The 24,138-nt window shown below is 48.5% G+C and overlaps 1 protein-coding gene and 1 pseudogene across 2 annotated transcripts, besides 1 other annotated feature; one reads left to right on the top strand and one right to left on the bottom strand.

Annotated features, from left to right (window-relative positions):
- Nucleotides 1–6,235: 6,235 nt before the first annotated feature.
- Nucleotides 6,236–9,711, bottom strand: AZGP1P1 (AZGP1 pseudogene 1; annotated as a pseudogene). Its single transcript, NR_036679.1, has 2 exons — nucleotides 9,625–9,711; nucleotides 6,236–7,329 (listed from the first exon to the last, which is right to left on the bottom strand). The product of NR_036679.1 is annotated as an AZGP1 pseudogene 1 (transcript).
- Nucleotides 7,255–7,410: a silencer, noted in NCBI's record as "fragment chr7:99580686-99580841 (GRCh37/hg19 assembly coordinates)". NCBI's record gives its function as "represses an EF-1alpha promoter that drives an FKBP-Casp9 reporter gene in an ReSE screen in K562 erythroleukemia cells {active_cell/tissue: K562}" and the evidence as "EXISTENCE:reporter gene assay evidence [ECO:0000049][PMID:32094911]".
- A 4,730-nt stretch (nucleotides 9,712–14,441) lies between the features above and the next one.
- On the top strand, nucleotides 14,442–23,743 carry AZGP1 (alpha-2-glycoprotein 1, zinc-binding). The gene is made up of 4 exons (NM_001185.4): nucleotides 14,442–14,528; nucleotides 18,467–18,727; nucleotides 22,043–22,318; nucleotides 23,187–23,743. Exons 1-4 carry the CDS (start codon nucleotides 14,453–14,455, stop codon nucleotides 23,468–23,470), a joined length of 897 nt encoding a protein of 298 aa, NP_001176.1. The 5' UTR covers nucleotides 14,442–14,452; the 3' UTR covers nucleotides 23,471–23,743.
- Nucleotides 23,744–24,138: the final 395 nt, after the last annotated feature.

Here is a 24,138-nt window from a genome sequence, read left to right as displayed (position 1 = left end):
TTGGGGACCCCTGCCTTAGACTATCTTGTCTCTCTCTGGTGGACTCTCCTGGGGATAGTTCCCAGGTAGGCTGGAGGAATGATGCACACTGAATCAGGCAAAAGACATCAATCAGATATAGCAAGGTATACATATGTTAAGGTCCTCTTCAATTTCTCTGAGCTTTGCTTTTTCAAACTTCTTTCCCAGTAGAATTCACTGTCCCAGCCAAAAGGTTCTTCGTGGTCGTCAGAAATATTTAGTGCTTTCTATTGCCTTTGCTTACGTATTTATTGATTCATCCAGAAATTATGTATTAATTACCTATTGTATTAATATGTGTATTTATTTATTTATTTTTGAGACACGGTCTTGCTCTGTTGCTCAGGCTGGAGTGCAATAGTACAATCATAGCTCACAGCAGCCTTGACCTCCCATGCTCAAGTGATCTTCCTGCCTCAGCCTCCCAAGTAGCTGGGACTACAAGTGTGTGCCACCATGCCCAGATAATTTTTTATTTTTTTAAATGTAGAGACAGGGTCTTGCTATGTTGCCCAGACTGATCTGGAACTCCTGGCTCAAGCAATCCTCCCACTTTGGCATCCCAAAGAGCTGAGATTACAGGCATGAGCCACTGTGCCCGGACCTATTGTATATTTGATTCTCTGGTAGGCACTGGAGACTCAAAAGAACAGGGAATGTAAAATCCCATTCTGCATGGAAATCTTTTGACCTCGACTTGGCAAGCTGTCTTAGGCCTCCACATCTCTCTGAAATCCGAATTGCTCCAGGAAGTTTTCCCTGAGTATCTCAGTAGCCCTGTGTCCCTCTCCTCCTGCCCCACACCTGCCCAGGACTTGAATCCTGTGGCTTCTCTCTCCTCCTTTATCATCATCCATGTCTCCTGTTATAGATGAGGTCACATCTCCTATTCCAATTTTCCTTAGCCCTGGTCTGATCATGTGGATTTTGGTTTCTTCGTTGATCTTAAATGTTTAACTTTCACCTTTTATTTGCTCCAAGTGTCCTCATATTCACATTTCACATGCTATATTTTTTCCTCTTGATTATTTGCATTTTCTTTTTTTGAGACAGAGTCTTGCACTGTCGCCCAGGCTGGAGTGCAGTGGCGAGATCTCAGCTCACTGCAACCCCTGCCTCCTGGGTTCACGTGATCCTCCTGCCTCAGCCTCCCCCGTAGCTGGGATTACAGGCACACATCACCAAACCCAGCTATTCTCCTGCCTCAGCCTCCCAAGTAGCTGAAATTATAGGCACACACCACCACACCCGGCTAATTTTTTGTGTTTTCAGTGAAGACGGGGTTTCACTATGTTGGCCAGGCTGGTCTTGATCCTTGACCTCGTGATCCGCCCGCCTGGGCCTCCCAAAGTGCTGAGATTATAGGCGTGAGCCACCGCGCCTGGCGACTATTTGCATTTTCTTTCCTGAACTTGGCTACTGTTCATATAGGATGTTTTTGCCCTGGAAGGGAGAAAGGTGGATTTCATGTAGACTTTAAAAAAAAAAGTAATTTCTCAGCTTTGATTTTCAAATTGGAGTCGAAGAGTTAAAACAAAAAATTGTAGCCTTCAAATTTAGGCTTTCATGAAAGATAAGATGATTAACTCAGAATTCCAAAGACTGGGAATGATTCTTCTATGGAACCCAGCTTGGAGGATGGATTTTGGAATAATCCAGAGTGGGAGGCTGAGTATAGGATGTAAAGAAAGTTCTTGTCGCTAGACACAGTGGCTCACGCCTGTAATGCCAGCATTTTGGGAGGCCGAGGCAGGCAGATCACCTGAGGTCAGGAGTTCGAGACGAGCCTTGCCAACATGGTGAAACCCTGTCTCTACTAAAAATAGAAAAATTAGCCGGGCGTAGTGGCTGATGCCTGTAATCCCAGCTACTTGGGAGGCTGAGGCAGGAGAATCGTTGGAACCCGGGAGGCGGAGTTTGCAGTAAGCCAAGATTGCAACACTGCAATCCAGGCTGGGCAACAGAGCAAGACTCCATCTCAAAAAAAAAAAAAAAAAAAAAAAAAAGAAAAAGGAAGAAAAAAAGGAAAGTTCTTTTCCCACAGGAAGGAAAAGCACAGACACAGGCAGGTGAGGCTTCATGAGAAGGTCAAGGTGAGAGCTCTGCTGTGTGTTTGGGGTTGATACCTGTGCATGGCAGTTGGCGACTCATTTGAGGAAACTCACTCTCAGGGACTCAGAGGGAGTCTGAGAACCTCAGGGCCAATTCCCGCTTCATTGAGCTGTACCCTGGAGAGCTGAGAGCTCTCAAATAAGCTTTGGCTGGTGGGCCAAGGCGAACATGGTGTGGAGATGTGGAGCAGCTGGAGTGGAGGGCTGGGTCTCCCAGGAAGCCAAGAAGTGTGGGGAAACTGAGGCACAGAAGAGGCTTGGCTGTGTGAAAGAGCTTGCAGGGTTCTAGCACCTCACAGCCAGAGTGGCCATGGCCACGCCTGTGGATGTCAGCAGGGGACACCTGAACAATCCCTAAGGGACAGCGGGTCCGGGCCATGCTTGGGATTGCCCAAGTCAGGGTGCCCAGGAACCATGGCCTCCAAGGGAAACCAAGAGTTTCAGATGAATTCAGTGCTTGGGAGCAGGACCAATGAGAAAATCACATCACATTTCTATAGCATTTTACAGTTAATACTGTTCTCTGTCGTGCTTGACAAAGAGAGATGATTATTTATTAGTTTCCACAGATTAGACAATGGCGGGGGGTGGTTCAAGGTGAGATGGTTTTTGGGTCCGAGTCAGCTCAGGACAGGCATCCCAGTCTTCGGTCTCCAAATCCACCTCCTGTCTGTCCCCCCACACTGCTCCTTGGGCCTTGAGGATCCATTGACCGTGATTTCGGTGGTTCAGCTCCCACATCAGGCAGGAAGGGCAGCTACTGGGGCTGAGATCCCACATTGCCTCCAGCCCTTGCTTCCTACCTGGCCTCCCCGGGCACCACGAGGGGCTGGGCCAGGCTGCTGTGCTGCACGTGGCAGGAGTAGGGGGCTGTGTCCTGCGGGGGCACATGCACCAACAACCAGGTCAGGTAAGTGCCGTTTCCACCGTGAAGAACATCTCCCCGTAACTCAGGCTCCTGCACCTCGCCGGCCCGAGTCCAGTGCACATCAATTTTCCCTGGGTAGAAGTCGTAGGCCAGGCACTTCAGTTTCTTCTTTTCTCCTGGGGCCTGGTGGCTGGTGACCACCACAGAGGGAGGATCTGTGGAGGGATAGAGTGTGACACTGCAGGTTTGAGGTCGACTTCTCCCGGCCCAGGTCTCTTCTCACCCCTACCCCTGGATGTCAGCAATCAGCAGAGCTCTAAGCTCTGTATCTGCCCGCCCCACTGCCCCCTGCCCTGGGACACTTTCCAGAAGATCAGGGAAGGCTGAGGCTTTCCCTGATCCTTCTCTGTTGGATCATGGAATGTCCTGGCTCCCCTCTCGCCCATTCTCCACCCCACCCATGTATTGACTCTGATAAGTTGTGAATGCTCTGTGCACTTTCCCATGTTTTCCCACATCTGAGTGGGCTTTGGAGTTCTGTCCCCCAATCTCAGTCCAGCTGCTTGGTTCAGCCCATGCCTCTATCCAGCAACCGCTTCCCTGCAGCACTGCACAATCCTGAGTCTCACTATGTCTGCAATCCAAGTCTCAGCTTGCAGCCATCGATTCCATTCACACTGGCTCGCTGTTGTCTTTCTGGGGCTGACATTTTACACACCTCCCTTCTCTCCACCACCCAGATGGGAGGCATCATTGTAGAGAGAAACAACGATGGCATTTGGAATCTGAAATCTGGAATTCAAGTCCTAGCTCTTCCTTTTTTTTTTTCTTTTTTTTTTTTTTGAGACTGAGTCTCACACTATTGCCCAGGCTAAAGTGCAGTGGCGCGATCTTGGCTCATTGCAATCTAGTCCTCCTGGGTTCAAGCAATTTTCATGCCTCAGCCTCCCGAGTAGCTGGGATTACAGGCGCCTGCCACCACGCCAGGCTAATTTCTGTATTTTTGGTAGAGACGAGGTTTCATCATGTTGGCCAGGCTGGTCTCGAACTCCTAACCTCAAGTGATCCACCCACCTTGGACTCACTCCCAAAGTGTTGGGATTACAGGCGTGAGCCAGCATGCCTGGCTGCAGCTCTGCCTCTTACACACAGTGTTACCCTCACCTCTGTCACCTCCAGCTCCTCATCTCTCAATGGGTGATATTTAGGGAAGCCTACCAGTGAATCAGTGGCTTTCCTGGCCCATTCTGCCTGAAATTTTGATGTCCTCCTAGGAAAGGAATGAATCCTGGAAGTTGAAAACTGGGGTTCTACGTGACTTACATGGATAGAGGAGATTGGCCTAAGATGCTCTCTGAGCTCCCAGCCTGAGATCACCTTGGTTTTTCCCAGCTTAGCACTGGATAGCAGGAAGCAGTGAGTACCTTGCCGGTCCAGGATATTTTCGCTGTATTTCAGGTATTTCCGCAGAGTTGCAGGGCACTCCTCCTCCAGGTAAGCCTTGGCCCGCTGCACGTAGACTGGTTCTGCCTCCTACTTCTGCTTGGTGTTCTGGGCTTCCGGGACCAAGGGGACTCAGGCTGGGATTTCTTTGTTGAATTCAATGTAGTCCTTTCCATCATAGGCATTCTTCCAGAATGCTCCAGTGCTTCTGTTATTCTGGATCTCACAACCAAACCTTTCCTGCAAGGCATGAGACCCTGAAACCTCCCCTGACCCCACAGGAAGCCAGTCAGCCTAGTGCCAACTGAATAACTCTTAGTCCTGCACTCTTCACAACTCAATAGGAGGAAAGGCTTTTGCAATCTAAGCATGCAGTTCCGTAATCATGGCATATGATTTTATCTGGACGTACAGTTGACACAGAGTGGCAAAGGCTATATGGATTGGCATTTCGGGCCAATTTGAGATGAAATATGCATTCCTCCCAGCCAGGGAAGTTAAGAGAGCTACAGGCCGTGGGCAGATTTCTGTCTCTTCTGTAGCATCTCTTTTTATTTGTTTGAACTTACGGGGAGTATTTAGGAACCTGTCACAACCACACCAAAGTACATTTCCGAATTTGATAGAAATTATTTGTGATTCCATATGAGGAAAGGAAGGCTCTCCTTTTCTCTCAGTTCTAGGTGGAGTTCATATCATCACCTAAATCAACCTAATCTGTCTGACTATTTCTTTGTTTCTTTTTTTTGAGACAGAGTCTTACTCTGCTGCCCAGGCTGGAGTGCAGTGTCATGATCTTGGCTCACTGCAACCTCCATCTCCCGGGTTCAAGCAATTCTCCTGCCTCAGTCTGCTGAGTAGCTGGAATTCCAGGTGCGCAACACCACACGAGGCTAATTTTTGTATATTTAGTATAGATGGGGTTTCGCCATGTTGGCCAGGCTGGTCTTGAACTCCTGACCTCAGGTGATCTGACTGCCTTGGTGTCCCAAAGTGCTGGGATTACAGATGCGAGCCACTGCGCCTGGCCTGATCACTTCTTTCTTCCTTTCTGGTGTTTGATATCTTTATCCCAAATCTCTAAAGTCCCAACCTTCTTGCCCATTAGCAACAACTCTCAGAAATGGACCTCATAGGGCAGAGGACACAGCCTCTTCATTCTGATTATAAAAACAGGTGTTTACCTAGCACAGGTTGGTGCTGTTGGCATAGACTCTCACAGCTCTCAAGCTGTCTGGGCTCAAGTCCCAGGTCTCTTCCCGCCCCAACCTGGTGTGTTGTGTGAACTGGAGCCAGTCACCTCCTTGTGCCTTTATTTCCTCACCCCTGAAACAGCAGTGCCAAAAGCACGGTTTCAGGGGGTTATTCTGAGCATTATATATGCTCATAAATGGGCCTGGCACAAAGTAAGTGCTCAGTAAATGTCAGCTACTCTTATTTTCTAATACCCTGTGTTCATCTCTTCATCCTCCTTCCTCGTAATTATCCACTTTGCCATTTCTATTCCTGTCCATCAATGCTTCCCCCAGTGTCTTTTCTGATCACCTGTGCCCCCTCCTCTCCTATGGCTAACACACAGCCTGGGTCATTTTCCTTACCAAGACCTCCCATCCCTCATCCTTCAAACGTCTGCTTATCTCTTGCCTCCTTTGGGAAACCTTCAGATCCCATGTAGCACCTTGGGCATTTTTGTACTTAGAAGCCCATCTTTTGATACCCACTCCATGATAATTTAACACCAGCAGTTCACCAGGCCTGGGGTTGGCTGCCTTGGGGCTGGCAGTGTGGTTTGGGAGAAAGAACGCTGGGCCGGGGGCAGGGGGACCGTCTCTGCACGGGCTCTGCCACCAGCTCCTCCGACCACAGTGCAGGTGGCCCTTCCTGGGTCTGCATCTTATGGTGAGGAGGAACTTTAGGGCTGCAGGGATCTCTAACAGCCTGTGGTTTTGAATGCAGCACTTCCTGAGCCCCCAGCATGGGCTACGGTGTGTGCTGGGTGCTTTTCTCTGTTGATTCCACAAATTTCAATTGAGCCAATATTGGCTGTACCCTGTGCTAGGTGATGGAGCTGCAAGGGAGATCAGGACAGACTGTGACATCCTTCATAGAACAGACATAGTTAAATATTACAGACTTGTTTGGAGATAGGTCTCAGTGCTCCAATGTTTGCAGATTTCGACCAGATATTTTGGGAACATTTCACTGTCAACAGGTAGGACTGGCAGAGCCACCAGGTGAGCCCAGGTCTGAGTGACTTTGAGAGTGGCTCATTCTCCAGGCAACCTCCCTGGACAGGGGTGAGTCTGATGCCTTCTCATGGGGAGATCAGCCTCTGATGGGTGGGGAGTGGAGGTGAGAGGTCAGAGGTGCCTAGATAGGAAGTGACTCTGCCATCACTTCCTGTGTGACCTGAGACCTGGGATGAGGATGGGGCAATCGATGGGGAAGGGGACAACACTGTGCTGTGGGGGGGGTGGGATGCGGACATGTCTGTGTTTCTGCTGTGTCTCCTGTTCCTCCCCTGGGATTGGGACTATTTCCATCCTGCTGACCCCTTGCCACTCACACCTGGGGGGCTGCCTCTTGGGTTAGACCTTCCACCCCCGCGGTCTGTTGTTCACTGACCGTTACCGTCGTTGTAATACTCCATGATGTTGTTCAGGGTCTCCATAAAGATGTCCTCCCTGGCCTTCTGAACTTGGCTCTGCTTCTCCCAGTCCTCTACTCCTTCCGCATGTCTCCATGGTCCCAGGGGCTCAGCCTTCCTGTCTTCACTGTTGTAGTGGAAGAAGGCATGGCCATTGAGGAAGACAGTGCCCTGCAGCCTGTGGGTGCCTTTGCCAGACCTGGACAGCCCAGTGTAGAGATAGGTCAGAGAGTAATGACCTGCAAAAGAAAAGACTCTGAGGGCTGGGGTCCATGCAAGGGTGTCCCATTGTGGGGCTGCAGAGGGCCAGGAGGGGAGGCCTGGCCACTGGCCTCTTCCTCCCCAGCTCTCTCCTCTGCCATCAGCTTCACACCATTGGAGCCTCACTCAAGGAAACAGGCTCTACTTTCATGCTGGGGATGATATTTCAGAGACCATTCTGTTTCTTCACTACAGAGTTTAATCTGCTTGGCACAGAAGAAGTTAACATTTCTCAGCCTCCTTATAGATAGATTGGAACCATGTGACTGAGTTTTGTCAAACAAGAATGTGAGTGGAAGTGACTGATGTCTTTCTTCTGGTCCAAGGCTCTACCATCTGGCTTGCCCCTACGGTCTCTTATCCCTTTCGTTGACTGTGGAGGCCACAGGATGAAACAGAAGAGTCCCAAGATGCAAACAGCCTGGATCCCTGAGTCACCCTGTGGAGGAGAGGAACCTTGCCCAATCTGCATTGAACTTGACATGAGAAATAAACATTTCTAGTCTAACCGGACAAATACATATAGTTAGAAAGTGTAGGAAGGTGAATTTACTAGAAAACTCAAGAAGTGACCCAGAATGGATCAGCATAGGGTAAGGCTAGGATACCTCTCAGAATTCCTGGCATTGTATCTTGCAGTTTGGTACAAGATGGAAGCTGAGAGAGTGGGACATTTCCACAATTAGTTCCATAGTTAATTTAGAATATAATTTACATGAGTGTTAGTAATGTTGGAAGTCATATGGCAGATTTCTAATTTAAGTACTGAAGTCATTCTTGCTCATGAGTTTCTGAATGTGATTAGCCTTTAAATCAGACCTTGAGTAAAACAGATTACCCTCTACAGTGTGGATGGGCCTCATCCAATCAGTGGAAGGCATCAAGAGAAAAGGCTGAGGTCCCCCAGAGAAGAAAGAATTCTGCCTCTAGACTACCCTTGGACTCAGGACCGCAACACCAACTCTTTGCTTGGTCTCTAGCCTGCTGGCTTGCTTTGCTGGTTTAGGACTTTTAGCCCTCAGAATTGTGTGAGCCACAAGAAATATTAAATAAAACTCCTCCCTTTCTCTGTTTTGTATATACATACACGTATATATGTATATTATACATATACACATATATTTAGTGTACATATGAATATACAATGTATATTCATATATACATACGTGAGTGTTTATACAATGTATATTAGTTTTGTTTCTCTGGAGAACCCCGAATAATTCATATTTGGGTGCAGAATGGGATTAATATTATAAATGTGATTATTATAAAACTAACGTGAAACACCTATTTTGACAATTTGTAAATGTCATGAATTTTATTTTATTTTATTTATTTATTTATTTTTTTGAGACAGAGTCTCGCTCTGTTGCCCAGGCTGGAGTGCAGTGGCGCGATCTCTGCTCACTGCAAGCTCCATCTCTCGGGTTCACACCATTCTCCTGCCTCAGCATCCCGAGTAGCTGAGACTACAGGCCCCCGCCATTACGCCCGGCTAATTTTTTGTATATTTAGTAGAGACGGGGTTTCACCGTGTTAGCCAGGATGGTCTCGATCTCCTGACCTCGTGATCCACCCACCTCGGCCTCCCAAAGTGCTGGGATTACAGGCGTGAGCCACCGCGCCCGGCATGAATTTTAAACTCACACAACTGAGAAGCCATTCACTTCCATGTCTTTATCCTGCACATTCTCATGCCACAAACAGCCTCCTTCCCCTCTCCTATAAATGAATCTTGATCTCCCCAAGCTCCCACTGTCTTCTCTTCCGGCCACTCGCTTTCCAGACCCACTGCAGTGGTGTCTGAGTGTGGGGTGAGGGCACGGGTTTCCTTCTAGCACCATCCCTCCAGCCAACCTGCCTTCCCACTTTCCCCTTGGGGGCTGTTCTCTCTTTTCCTCAGCGTCAGGCAGGTGTACCCAGCCATCGGAAGGAGGGAAGGAACAGGAGCAGAAGCAGCTCCAGGCCTGTGGTTCCTGCTCCGTCCTGGCTCTCCACCCCAAGCAGGTCGCTTGGTCTTTGGAGTCTTTGTTTTCACTGTAAACTAAGGGGTTTTAGATTCAGATTCCTGAAGGTCTTATTTTGGGTGAGGGCAGAGGCTCCCTGAATGCTCCTGGAAGTGTGTGAGCTGAGGGAGTTGACAGCCTTGGACACCTGTTCCTGCCATATGCCAGGGAATCCCAGCTGCATCCAGCCCTTCTCCCAGCCACATGTCCTGTTCCTCACCTCCTTCCAGTCCTCTCCAGCACCCATCCCTTGCTTTCCCCACTCACCATCTCGGGTCTCCTGGAGGACAGCAGGACCCAGAAGCAGCAGCAGAGACAGCAGGACAGACACCATTCTTACCATTGTGTCTGCTTGGAAGGTTCTGGGCAGGAGGCACAGGTATTATCCTGGGTCCTGGGGCCATGCCCAGGGGAGGTGAATCTACAGGCCAATGGGAGTACCAGGCCGGGCTCCTCCCCTGACAGTAAGAAAGAAGTATGCACAAGCCAGGCTGGGCAGAGGTTGTGATCAGTGAGTCTACACACAGGATATGCAAATTTAGAGCTGAGACAGTTGATCTCTGGACTGAGGATTTGTGTGTGCCTGGGGCGGAAGGATGCCAGTGTGTGGGAGGTGTGTGTGATGGGTGGCAGGTGCCTGGGATGTGTCGCCCTTCCAGTCTATTATGACACCCTCTGGGGTCACTTGGGTGTTGTCAGACCACACTTCATCTCTGCCTTCTGGAAAAACTCTCAACATGTCCAAGACACGGACATGGGTAGACCCCCGCTGGGGTGGGACCCTCACTCTCCCACATCCGATCCTGCCAGAGCTGTCTGGAGGACATTCCCATTCCCATCTCTCCCTCTTTCCTTTAGGTGCCTGTGGAATCCCAGCCTTCCATGATGGAAGCAGAAATAGCCGCATCCTCCTTTTGCAGCCTCCCTGGCAATAGAACGAGCAGGTGTGCACAGGGTTTATGCTCAGCAAGTCGAAGCTACTGCCTTGGATATCAGGTCAAGTGTTAGGGAAACAAAGAGGAGGGCACAGTGGACAATGTTTTCTGGTGGTCTTGGCAGGGGTTGCAACTGCCAGCTCCCGGGGCAGTGGGGCTGCAGTAGCTGCGGGGGGCGTCTTGAGCTTCAGTCCCCCGGGATGTTGTAGATCCCGTGCTGTGGCCTCTGCTGCCCCCTGCTGGCAGCTTCTGTATATTTACTGGGCCGGTTGCAGGTGTGATTTTGACTGTTGGGCTCCTCTGGAATTCTGAGCCTGGGTTCTCCATCCTTTCTGTGGATTCTGAGAGCTAACCAATAAATACGTTTATTTTCTGCTTAAGGTCAGAACTGCATTACGTTTCCAATAACAAATACTCCTGGCGGATACAGAGATTGGTACAAGGATTGTTTCCAGGCAGTATTTACTCAGGGAAATGGAGGGCTGGGAAGCTGAGGTTGGTTACTGGGCCAGATTGGGGCTGCGCAGTGAAAACACAAGAGTCTTGGGGGATTCTGGCAGGCCTGGTGTGCAGTGATAACTTCAACAGTTGGCTGAGGTATCTGTTATGGTAGATTGGTGTAGGGACCAGCCCCACAGGGTCGGAGGGTTTTTCTCCCCGTGTGCAGAGACGAGAGAGTGTAGAAATAAAGACACAAGACAAAGAGATAAAAGAAAAGACAGCTGGGCCCCGGGGACCACTACCACCAAGACGTGGAGACCGGTAGTGGCCCCGAATGTCTGGCTGCGCTGTTATTTATTGGATACAAAGCAAAAGGGGCAGGGTAAAGAGTGTGAGTCATCTCCAATGATAGGTAAGGTCACGTGGGTCATGTGTCCACTGGACAGGGGGCCCTTCCCTGCCTGGCAGCCAAGGCAGAGAGAAAGAGGAAGAGAGAGAGACAGCTTATGCCATTATTTCTGCTTATCAGAGACTTAGTACTTTCACTAATTTGCTATTGTTATCTAAAAGGCAGAGCCAGGTGTACAGGATGGAACATGAAGGCGGACTAGGAGCGTGACCACTGAAGCACAGCATCACAGGGAGACGGTTAGGCCTCTGGATAACTGCGGGCGGGCCTGACTGATGTCAGGCCCTCCACAAGAGGTGGAGGAGTAGAGTCTTCTCTAAACTCCCCCAAGGAAAGGGAGACTCCCTTTCCCGGTCAGCTAAGTAGCGGGTGTTTTCCTTGACACTGAGGCTACCGCTAGACCACCGTCCGCTCGGCAAGGGGCGTCTTCCCAGACACTGGCGTTACTGCTAGACCAAGGAGCCCTTCTGGTGGCCCTGTCTGGGCATAACAGAAGGCTCGCACTCTTGTCTTCTGGTCACTTCTCACTATGTCCCCTCAGCTCCTATCTCTGTATGGCCTGGTTTTTCTTAGGTTATGATTATGCAGCGAAGATTATTATAATATTGGAATAAATTATAATATTGGAGGATTATTATAATATTATAATATTGGAATAATAAATTTGGAAAAAACTAATGATTAATGATATTGATATATAATCATATCTATGATCTAGATCTAGTATAACTCTTGTTGTTTTATATATTTTATTATACTGGAACAACTCATGCCCTCGGTCTCTTGGCTTGGCACCTGGATGGCTTGCCGCCCACATCTCCCCCCTTTTTATTAACTAGGATCGCCATCGCCATCATTGCTTGTCGTTGACTTCGGATTTGTTTTCGGACTCCTTGGAGGCATCTGCAGGCTAAAAGGAGACAACGTAAGCATACCAATATTAATAATGCCAGTGACAACAATGATCCTCCAAGGGGTTTGATCTATTTAAAGGGATTAAGATCAGATAATTGTTTAGTTATGCCTTCAAAAATGTCTGAGCCAGGAACAGTGGATAAATGAGCTTGTGAATCCTCGAAAATTTGCTCTTTAAGTTTTGAAATATCCAAGGTTAAGTTATCATCCCAGGCTTTTAAATGTCTTGAGACATTTTCCCAGCTATGTTGATATTTATTATAAGCATAAGGCATTATGCAATAATCAGAAGTATTCCAATCACTCTGTAATTGCATACGGTGTTCCAAATTCATATCTCCCAGCCAGATTACACTTTGGCGGAGATCATTAATTTGATTAGCTAATTTTTGATCAATTTGAGCCTGAGAATTCCAAAGTCTGGAGGAGTTTTTCTGCCATGCTTCAATTCAACATATTGAACGGTTTGAACAGAATTGTGGATGGCAACTCCAGCAGTTGCTGCTGTTGCAGTAACCGCAATTAGTCCTGCAATGATGGCAATAAGAGTAAAAATAAATCTCTTTGTTCTTTTGCGGATACCTTTAAGAACTTCATTGACTATGTGAATAGAGGGGGAAGACTCCCATGGACGATGTAAAGAAACTGGTATCCATACCCCCTCCCTAGCCCTTACCAAGAGAGTACTTGTAGTGGGATTAAAAGTAGCATCAATGCACGTGAACAGCTTACAGTTATCACATTCTATAGTTTGTGTATTGGGAATGATAATTATATTTCCAACCAACAGCATGTAAGGGGGTTTGACATAGCTCCTGATGGGTATCACCCGTTCAGATATGAGGGTGATGTTGAATGTGGGTGTTTTGGTATTAGTGTGAAGGAGTTGATAGGTAGTGTTCCATATCCTTATTCCTGTCATAGCTGCAGCTAATTTTCATAGTTGAGGATGTTCTGGGGTAACAAAGGGATGAATCATTTTTGGTCTAGGAGGAGTAATGCCTGCATCCATCCATTTAAATAGGTAAGGGGACACCCATTGTCTCAGCCTGTATGACTGCCATCCATCCTCTACATAATCTAACAAATAATTAAACTCTGAGCATGAGGTATTTTTGCTGGAGCAATCTTGCCAATAATGCCCTTTTGGAGCCCAATCAATAACAATACCTGCGGCTAGACTTTGGAGCACAACGGCCTTAGGAGCATTACAATTATTCCATAAAATTGAAGTCACTATAAAAGGTCCCTTTGTAGGTTTCTTTAACCAAAAGAGAGGCTGGGCACAGTTGCTCACACTAGTAAACCCAGCACTTTGGGAGACCGAGGCGGGCAGATCACGAGGTCAGGAGTTCAAAACCAGCTTGGCCAACATGGTGAAACCCCTGCCTCAGCTTCCTGAGTGCTGGGATTATAGGCATGTGCCACCACGCGCAGCTAATTCTTGTATTTTTTCAGTAGAGACGAGGTTTCATCATGTTGCCCAGGCTGGTCTCGAGTACCTGACCTCAACCTGAGGTGATCCAACCACCTCAGCCTCCCAAAGTGCTGGGATTACAAGCATGAGTCACCGCACCCGGGCCCCAGTCACTTTAGAATAGCATGTTGCTTTGTATTCGGAGGGTCTCTCTGCAAATAGCCCATCAACACTGAGCGTGCCTGGAAAGACCTGGTTTTCAAATAACTGGCTTCGTCTGTGTAAAACGAGTCTTGTTGTATGCATTAAAAATTATCTTGGCTGGGCGTGGTGGCTCACGCCTTTAATCCCAGCATTTTGGGAGGCTCGTTCTGTTGCCAGGGAGGCTGCAAAAGGAGGATGCGGCTATTTCTGCTTCCATCATGGAAGGCTGGGATTCCACAGGCACAGAAAGGAAGGAGGGAGAGATGGGAATGTGACTGTCCTCCAGACACAGCCTCTGGCAGGATCGGATGTGGGAGAGTGAGGGTCCCACCCCAGCTGGGGTCTACCCAGGTCCATGTCTTGGACATGTTGAGAGTTTTTCTGGAAGGCAGGGATACAGTGTGGTCCAAAAACACACAAATGCCCCTACTGGCCCAGGGGTTGTCACAATAGACTGGAAGGGTGACACATCCCAGGCGCTTGCCACCCATCACACGCACCTCCTACCCACTGGCATCCTTCCACCCCAGGCACACACAAAGCCTCAGTCCAGAGATCAACTCTGGACTCAGCTCTGAATTTGCATATCCTGTGTGTAGATTCATTCTTCATAACCTCTGCCCAGCCTAGCTTGTGTATCATTTTTTTTTCTCTATTAGGGGAGGAGCCCGTCCTGGCACTCCCATTGGCCTGTAGATTCACCTCCCCTGGGCAGGGCCCCAGGACCCAGGATAATATCTGTGCCTCCTGCCCAGAACCCTCCAAGCAGACACAATGGTAAGAATGGTGCCTGTCCTGCTGTCTCTGCTGCTGCTTCTGGGTCCTGCTGTCCCCCAGGAGAACCAAGATGGTGAGTGGGGAAAGCAAGGGATGGGTGCTGGAGAGGACTGGAAGGAGGTGAGGAACAGGACATGTGGCTGGGAGACAGGCTGGATGCAGCTGGGATACCCTGGCATACGGCAGGAATGGGTGCCCAAGGCTGTCAACTCCCTCAGCTCACACACTTCCAGGAGCATTCAGGGAGCCTCTGCGCTGGCCCGAAATAAGACCTTCAGGAATCTGAATCTAAAACCCCTAGTTTACAGTGAAAACAAAGACTCCAAAGACCAAGCGACCTGCTTGGGGTAGACAGTCAGGACGGAGTAGGAACCATATGCCTGGAGCTGCTTCTGCTCCTGTTCCTTCCCTCCTTCCGATGGCTGGGTACACCTGCCTGACGCTGAGGGAAAGAGAGAGCAGCCCCAAGGGGAAAGTGGGAAGGCAGGTTGGCTGGAGGGATGGTGCTAGAAGGAAACCCGTGCCCAAATCCCACACTCAGACACCACTGCAGTGGGTCTGGAAGGCGAGTGGCTGGAAGAGAAGAGAGTGGGAGCTCCGGGAGATCAAGAGTCACTCCTAGGATAAGGGAAGGAGGCTGTTTGTGGCATGAGAATGTGCAGGATAAAGACATGGAAGCGAATGGCTTCTCAGTTGTGTGAGTTTAAAATTCATGACATTTACAAATTGTCAGAAAAGGTGTTATATGTTTGTTATATAACAATCACTTTGGAATGTTAATCTGATTCTGTGCCAAAATCTGAATTACTCAGGGTTCTCCAGAGAAACAGAACTAATAGGTGGTACACATATACATATATATGTACGTACACATACATACATACACTGTATACACATGGATACACACACACATAGGAAGAGATTTACATATATGTATACAAAAGAGAGAGAGAGTAGAGATTTATTTTAAGAAATTGACTCACACTATTGGGAGGAGTAACAAGTCCTAAATCTTCAGAGCCGGCCAGCAGGCTGGAGACCCAGGGAAGAGTTGATGTCTTAGTCTTGATTCCAAGGGCAGACTGTAGGCAGAATTCTTTCCTCTTTAGGGGACATCTGAGGCTTTTTCTCTTAAGGCCTTCAACTGATTGGATGAAGCCCACCACTATGGAGAGTAATCCACTTTACTCAAGGTCTACTGATTTTTTTGTAAATTAAAAAAAAAACTGTGGGTGCATAGTATGTGTATATATTTATGGGGTACATGAGAGGTTTTGATTCAGGCATGCAATGTGAAATAATCACATCATCAAAAATGAGGTATCCATCCCTTCAAGCTTTTATCGTTTGTGTTACAGACAATCCAATTATACTTTTTTGGTTATTTTAGTTTTTAAAAGTATTTGATTATTTATTTATTTATTTATTTTTGAGACAGAGTCTCACTCTGTCACCCAGGCAGGAGTGCAGTGGCATGATCTCGGCTCACTGCAACCTCCGCCTCCCAGGTTCAAGCAATTTTCCTGCCTCAGTCTCCTGAGTAGCTAGGACTACAGGCACCTGCCACCACACCTGGCTAATTTTTTTGTATTTTTAGTAGAGACGGGTTTCATCATGTTGGCCAGGCTAGTCTTGATATCCTGACCTCGTGATCTGCCCGCCTTGGTCTCCCAAAGTGCCGGGATTACAGGTGTCAGCAACTGCGCCTGGCCTCTCTTTTGGTTATTTAAAAGTGTACAATTAAATTATGATTATTATTATTATTTTTGAGATGGATTCTTGTTCTGTCACCCAGGCTGGAGTGCAGTGGCGTGATCTTGGCTTACTGCAAACCTCCGCCTGTTGGGTTCAAGCAATTATCTTGCCTCGGGTGTACACTGCCACACACGGCTAACTTATGTATTTTTAATAGAGATAGGGTTTCACCATGTTGGCTAGACTGGTCTTGACCTCTTGACCTCAAGTGATCCACTCACTTCAGCCTCCCAGAGTGCTGGAATTACAGGCACGAGCCACCACACCTGGCCCCAGTTAAATTATTATTGACTATAGTCACCCTGTTGTGCTATCAAATAGTAGGTCTTATTCATTCTTCTTTTTTTTTTTTTTTTTGTGACAGAGTTGCCCAGGCTGGAATGCAGTGGTGCAATCTTGGCTCACTGCAACCTCTGCCTCCCGGGCTTAAGCGATTCTCCTGCCTCAGCCTTCTGAGTCGCTGGGACTACAGGTGTGTGCCACCACGCCCGGCTAATTTATGTATTTTTAGTAGAGATGGGGTTTCACCATGTTGGCCAGGCTGGTTTCGAACTCCTGACCTCAAGTGACCCACCTGCCTCAGCTTCCCAAAGTGTTGGAATTACAGGCATGAGCCACCACACCTGGCCCCAGTTAAATTATTATTCACTGGAGTCACTTTGTTGTGCTATCAAATAGTTTTCTAACTATTTTTTTTGTACCCATTAACCACCCTCCCAATTTCCCCCCAACCCTGCCACTACCCTTCCCAGCCTTTGGTAACCATCCTTCTACTCTCTATGTCCATGAATTCAATTGTAGGGTCTACTGATTTAAAGGCTAATCACATTTAGACACTCAGGAGCAAGAATAATTTTAGTAATTGAACTAGGATTCTGCCATATGACCTCCAACATCATTAGCACCTGTGTAAATTGTATCATAAAATAATTATGGAACTATTATGGAAATGTCCCTCTCTCCCAGATCCCACCTTGTACCAAAATGCAAGGTACAACCCCGGGAATTCTGAGCTCCATCCTAGTCTTACCCTGTGCTAATTCAGTCTGGGTCATTTCTTGAATTTTCTGGTAAATTCTCCTTTCTACCCTTTCTAACTATATGTATTTGTCAGGTTAAGCTAGAAGTGTTAATTTTTTTTTTTTTGAGATGGAGCCTTGCTTTGTCACCTAGGCTGAAGTGCAGTGGCATGATCTCAGCTCACTGCAAGCTCCGCCTCCCGGGTTCATGCCATTCTCCTGCCTCAGCCTCCTGAGTAGCTGGGACTACAGGCACCCGCCACCATGCTTGGCTAATTTTTTGAATTCTTAGTAGAGACGGGGTTTCACCATGTTAGCCAGGATGGTCTCGATCTCCTGACCTCGTGATCCACCCGCCTCGGCCCCCTAAAGTGCTGGGATTACAGGCGTGAGCCACTGAGCCCGGACGAAATGTTAATTTGTTTTTTTTGAGACGGAGTCTCACTCTGTCATCCAAGCTGGAGTGCAGTGGCATGATCTTGGCTTGTTGCAACCTCTGCCTCTCTGGTTCAAGTGATTTTCCTGCCTCAGCCTCCAGCATGACTGGGATTACAGGCCCGCACCACCATGCCCAGCTAATTTTTGTATTTTTTAATAGAGATGGGGTTTCACCATGTTGGCCAGGCTGGTCTTCAACTCCTGATCTCAAGTAATCTGCCTGCCTTGGCCTCCCAAAGTCCTGGGATTACAGGCATGAGCCACGGAGCCCAGCCTAGAAATGTTAATTTCTAACGCATGTCAGATTCCATGCACACTGGGCAAGGTTCCATTCCTCCATGGGGTGACTCAGGGATCCAGGCCAATTGCATATTGAGACTCTTTCATATTATCCTGTGGCCTTCAAAGTCGTCACCTCTAGGGATGAGAAACAAAAGGGACAAGCCAGCTGGTAGGGTCTTGGACAAGAAGAAAGACATCACTTCTGCTCACATTCTCTTTTGACAAAACTCAGTCACATGGTCCCAATATATCTTCGAGGTGGCTGAGTAATGTTATCTTCCTATGTGTCAAGCAGAGGAAATAATGTAGTGAAGACACAGGATGGTCTCTGAAATATCATCTCAGGCATGAAAGTAGAGCATATTCACTTGAGTGAGCCTCCAGTGGTGTGAAGTTGATGGCAGGAGAAAGAGCTGGGGAAGAAAAGGCCAGTGGCAGGTCTCCCCTCCTAGCCCTATGCAGCCCCACAGTGGGACCCTTGCATGGACCTCAACCATCAGAATCTTTTCTTTTGCAGGTCGTTACTCTCTGACCTATATCTACACTGGGCTGTCCAAGCATGTTGAAGACGTCCCCGCGTTTCAGGCCCTTGGCTCACTCAATGACCTCCAGTTCTTTAGATACAACAGTAAAGACAGGAAGTCTCAGCCCATGGGACTCTGGAGACAGGTGGAAGGAATGGAGGATTGGAAGCAGGACAGCCAACTTCAGAAGGCCAGGGAGGACATCTTTATGGAGACCCTGAAAGACATCGTGGAGTATTACAACGACAGTAACGGTCAGTGAATAACAGACCACAGGGGTGGAAGGTCTAACCCAAGAGGCAGCCCCCCCAGTGTGAGTGGCAAGGGATCAGCAGGATGGAAATAGTCCCAATCCCAGGGGAAGAACAGGAGACACAGCAGAAACACAGACATGTCCACATCCCACCCACCCCACAGCACAGGTGCTCCCCGCTTCCCCATCAATTGCCCCATCCTCATCCCAGGCCTCAGGTCACACAGGAAGTGATGGCAGAGTCACTTCCTATCCAGGCACCTATGACCTCTCACCTCCACACCCCACCCATCGGAGGCTGATACCCCCGTGAGAAGGCATCAGACTCACCCCTGTCCAGGGAGGTTGCCTGGAGAGTGAGCCACTCTCAAAGTCACTCAGACCTGGGCTCACCTGGTGGTTCTGCCAGTCCTAGCTGTTGACAGTGAAACGTTCCCAAAATATCTGGTTGAAATCTGCAAACATTGGAGCACTGAGACCTACCTCCAAACAAGTCTGTAATATTTAACTATGTCTGTTCTATGAAGGATGTCACAGTCTGTCCTGATCTCCCTTGCAGCTCCATCACCTAGCACAGGGTACAGCCAATATTGGCTCAATTGAAATTTGTGGAATCAACAGAGAAAAGCACCCAGCACACACCGTAGCCCATGCTGGGGGCTCAGGAAGTGCTGGATTCAAAACTGTGGGCTGTTAGAGTTCCTTGGAGCCCTAAAGTTCCTCCTTACCATACGATGCAGACCCAGGAAGGGCCACCTGCGCTATGGTCAGAGGAGCTGGTGGCAGAGCCCGTGCAGAGATGGTCCCTGTGCCCCCGGCCCAGTGCTCTTTCTCCTAAACCACACTGCCAGCCCCAAGGCAGCCAACCTCAGGTCTGGTGAACTGCTGGTGTTAAATTATCATAGAGTGGGTGTCAAAAGATGGGCTACTAAGTACAAAAATGCCCAAGGTGCTACATGGGATCTGAAGATTTTCAAAAGGAGGCAAGAAAGAGATAGGCAGATGTTTCAAGGATGTGGGGTGGGGGAGGTCTTGGTAAGGAAAATGGCCCAGGCTGTGTGTCAGCAATAGGAGAGGAGGGGGCACAGGTGATCAGAAAAGACACTGGGGGAAGCATTGATGGACAGGAATAGAAATGGCAAAGTGGATAATTAAGAGGAAGGAGGATGAGGAGATGAACACAGGGTATTAGAAAATAATAGAAGGCAGGGCTTGGTGGCTCACTCTTGTAATCCCAGCACTTTGGGAGGCTGAGGCAGGCAGATCACCTAAGGTCAGGAGTTCGAGACCAGCCCGGCCAACATGGTGAAACCCTGTCTCTACTAATAATACAAAAATAGCCTGGCATGGTGGCACACGTCTGTGGTCCCAGCTACTCAGGAGGCTGAGGCAGGAGAATTGCTTGAACCCAGGAGGCAGAGGTTACAGTGAGCCAAAATCCTACCATTGCACTACAGCCTGGGTGACAAGAGTGAAACGTTGTCTAAAAACAAAAAACAAAAAACAAAAAAAGGAAATAATAGTAGCTGACATTTACTGAGCACTTACTTTGTGCCAGGCCCATCTATGAGCATATATAATGCTCAGAATAGCCCCCTAAAACAGTGCTCTTGGCATTGCCATTTCAGAGGTGAGGAAATAGAGGCACAGGGAGTTGAGTGGCTCCAGTTCAGGCAACACACCAGGTGGGGGTGGGGGGCTGGGGAGAGACCTGGGACGTGAGCCCAGACAGCTTGAGAGCTTTCAGAGTCTATGCCAACAGCACCAACCAGTGCTGGGTAAACACCTGCTTTTATCATCAGAACAAAGAGGCTGTGTCCCCTGCCCTATGAGGTCCATTTCTGAGAGTTGTGGCTAATGGGCAAGAAGGTTGGGGCTTTAGAGATTTGGGATAAAGATATCAAACACCAGAAAGGTAGAAAGAAGTGATCAGATTAGGGTTACTTAGGTGATGATATGAACTCTTCCTAGAACTGAGAGAAAAAGAGAGCCTTCCTTTACTCATATGAAATCACAAATAATTTCTATCCAATTTGGAAGTACACTTTGGTGTAGTTGTGACAGCTTCCTCAGGACTCAGCATAAATTCAAACAAATAATTGTCCTTAGAAGAGATGCTATAGAAGAGATAGAAATATATTCATATTCTGTAGCTTTTTTTTTTTTGAGATGGAGTTTTGCTCTTGTCACCCAAGCTGGAGTGCAGTGATGCAATCTCAGCTCACTGCAAACTTTGCCTCCTGGGTTCAAGGGATTCTCCTGCCTCAGCCTCCCGATAACTGGGACTACAGGCTACAGGCATGTGTCACTACTCCTGGTTAATTTTTTTTTTTTTTTTAAGACTGAGTCTTGCTCTGTCTTTCAGGCTGATGTACAATGGCTCCATCTCGGCTCACTACAACTTCTGTCCCCCAGGTTCAAGCGATTCTCCTGCCTCAGCCTCATGAGTAGCTGGGATTACAGGCATGTGCCAGCACACCCAGCAAATTTTTGTATTTTTAGTAGAGATGAGGTCTTACCATGTTGGCCAGGCTGGTCTCAAACTCCTGACCTCAGGTGATCCTTTGGCCTCAGCCTCCCTAACTGCTGGGATTACAGGCATGAGCCACTGCGTCCAGCCTAATTTTATATTTTTGGTAGAGATGGGGTTTCACCATATTGGCCAGGCTGGTCTCGAACTCATGACCTAAGGTGATCCATCCTCCTCAGCCTCTCAAAGTGCTGGGATTACAAGTGTGAGCCACTGGGCCTGGTGCTTTTTTTTTTTTTTTTTTTTTTTTTTTTGAGATAGGGTCTCACTCTGTCACCCAGGCTGAAATGCAGTAGTGTGATTTTGGCTCATTGCAGCCTTGACTTCCCAGGCTGAAGTGATCCTCCCACCTCAGCCTCCTGAGTAGCTGGGGCTACAGGCATGCACCACCATGCTGCGCTAATTTTTATATTTTTTGTAGTGGTGGGATTTCGCCATATCACCCTGGCTGGTCTGGAACCCCTGGGCTCAAGCGATCCACTCGCTTCAGCTTCTCAAAGTGCTGGGATTACAGGCATGAGCCACAGCGCCCAGGCTGTAGCTCTCTTAAGGAGGAACATATCTCATCTGAGACAAACCTGAAATGCCAAACCAAACTGAGTTAGCCCCTCTCTGTCTGTTGTATATATTGGAGTAATAACCTATTTGTCTTGATAAAGGGATTGCATGCTTGAATTGCAAAAACCTTTATTTCTTTTGGGTTGCCCAATGTGCAAGACTAAGAGTTATTTTGATAAATTTCTCACCAGGCTGACTGTCTCTCTGTGGGGTCGGGGGAGTTTTCAGGGTCTCACGTATTGCAGGGAAGGTTTGGTTGTGAGATCGAGAATAACAGAAGCAGCGGAGCATTCTGGAAATATTACTATGATGGAAAGGACTACATTGAATTCAACAAAGAAATCCCAGCCTGGGTCCCCTTCGACCCAGCAGCCCAGATAACCAAGCAGAAGTGGGAGGCAGAACCAGTCTACGTGCAGCGGGCCAAGGCTTACCTGGAGGAGGAGTGCCCTGCGACTCTGCGGAAATACCTGAAATACAGCAAAAATATCCTGGACCGGCAAGGTACTCACTGCTTCCTGCTCCCCAGTACTGAGCCCAGAATAAAAGACGATCTCAGGCTAGGAGCTCAGGCAACATCTTAGTCCGGTCTCATCTGTTCCTGGATGTCCCTCAGACCCCCAGCTTTCATCTTTTAGGATTTATTCCTTCCCTGGGATAATATAATTTGTGGTCCAAAAAGAACATCATCAAAATTTCAGGCAGAATGGGCCAGGAAGGCCATTCTTTCTTGATGAGTGTCCCCAAATCATCTCCAATTAACAGACAAGGAGCTTGAGGTTAGGGAGGTGAGGGTAACACTGTCTGTAAGAGGCAGAGCTGGGACTCAAATTCCAGATTTCAGATTCCAAATCCCATCGTTTTTTATCTCTACAATGATGCCTCCCATCTGGGTGGTGGAGAGAAGGGAGGCGTGTAAAATGTCAGCCCCAGAAGGACAAGAGCAAGCCAGTGTGAGCGGAATTGATGGCTGCAAGCTGAGACTTGGATTGGAGACGTAGTGAGACTCAGGATTGTGCAGTGCTGCAGGGAAGTGGTTGCTGGATAGAGGCATGGGCTGAACCAAGCAGCTGGACTGAGACTGGGGGACAGAACTCCAAAGCCCACTGAGATGTGGGAAAACATGGAGAAGCACACGGAGCATTCACAACTTATTGCCGTCAGAGTCAATACATGGGTGAGGTGGGGATTGGGCAAGAGGGAAAGCGTCAGCCTTCCCTGATATTCTGGAAAGTCTCCCGGGGCTGGGGGTGGGCAGGTACAGAGCTTCGAGCTCTGCTGATCGCTGACATCCAGGGGTGGGGGTAGGAAGAGACCTGGGCCGGGAGAAGTCCACCTCAAGCCTGCAGTGTCACACTCTATCCCTCCACAGATCCTCCCTCTGTGGTGGTCACCAGCCACCAGGCCCCAGGAGAAAAGAAGAAACTGAAGTGCCTGGCCTACGACTTCTACCCAGGGAAAATTGATGTGCACTGGACTCGGGCCGGCGAGGTGCAGGAGCCTGAGTTACGGGGAGATGTTCTTCACAATGGAAATGGCACTTACCAGTCCTGGGTGGTGGTGGCAGTGCCCCCGCAGGACACAGCCCCCTACTCCTGCCACGTGCAGCACAGCAGCCTGGCCCAGCCCCTCGTGGTGCCCTGGGAGGCCAGCTAGGAAGCAAGGGTTGGAGGCAATGTGGGATCTCAGACCCAGTAGCTGCCCTTCCTGCCTGATGTGGGAGCTGAACCACAGAAATCACAGTCAATGGATCCACAAGGCCTGAGGAGCAGTGTGGGGGGACAGACAGGAGGTGGATTTGGAGACCGAAGACTGGGATGCCTGTCTTGAGTAGACTTGGACCCAAAAAATCATCTCACCTTGAGCCCACCCCCACCCCATTGTCTAATCTGTAGAAGCTAATAAATAATCATCCCTCCTTGCCTAGCATAACAGAGAATCCTTTTTTTAACGGTGATGCGCTGTAGAAATGTGACTAGATTTTCTCATTGGTTCTGCCCTCAAGCACTGAATTCATCTGAAACTCTTGGTTTCCCCTGGAGGCCATGGTTCCTGGGCACCTTGACCTGGGCAATCCCAAGTGTGGCCTGAACCCCCTTTCCCTTGGGGATTGTTCAGGTGTCCCTAGACGCCTTGTGGTATTGTACCTAATACCCATGAAGGGAGAGGATGATATTACTTGCCAGTGTACACCCCCCTGTGATATTGTTCATAATGTCCAGAGTGAAGAAAGATGATATTACTCCCAATATCACAGAAGGTGTACACCCCCCCTTGATATTGTTCCTAATACCCAGTTGGGGAGGGGAGAATATCTCTCCCAA

This window comes from Homo sapiens, chromosome 7 (assembly GCF_000001405.40).
Source record: "Homo sapiens chromosome 7, GRCh38.p14 Primary Assembly".
Taxonomy (NCBI): Eukaryota; Metazoa; Chordata; class Mammalia; order Primates; family Hominidae; genus Homo; species Homo sapiens.
Note: the sequence above shows the minus strand (reverse complement) of the source record. Positions and strands in the feature narration are given on the sequence as shown.

What these genes read in the sequence shown, in the direction of transcription:
- AZGP1 (NM_001185.4), top strand. Translation starts at nt 14,453, where the DNA reads ATGGTAAGAATGGTGCCTGTCCTGCTGTCTCTGCTGCTGCTTCTGGGT. An exon ending in GTATTACAACGACAGTAACG is followed by an intron (nt 18,728 to 22,042) that starts GTCAGTGAATAA and finishes GGGAGTTTTCAG; the next exon opens with GGTCTCACGTATTGCAGGGA. An exon ending in AAATATCCTGGACCGGCAAG is followed by an intron (nt 22,319 to 23,186) that starts GTACTCACTGCT and finishes ATCCCTCCACAG; the next exon opens with ATCCTCCCTCTGTGGTGGTC.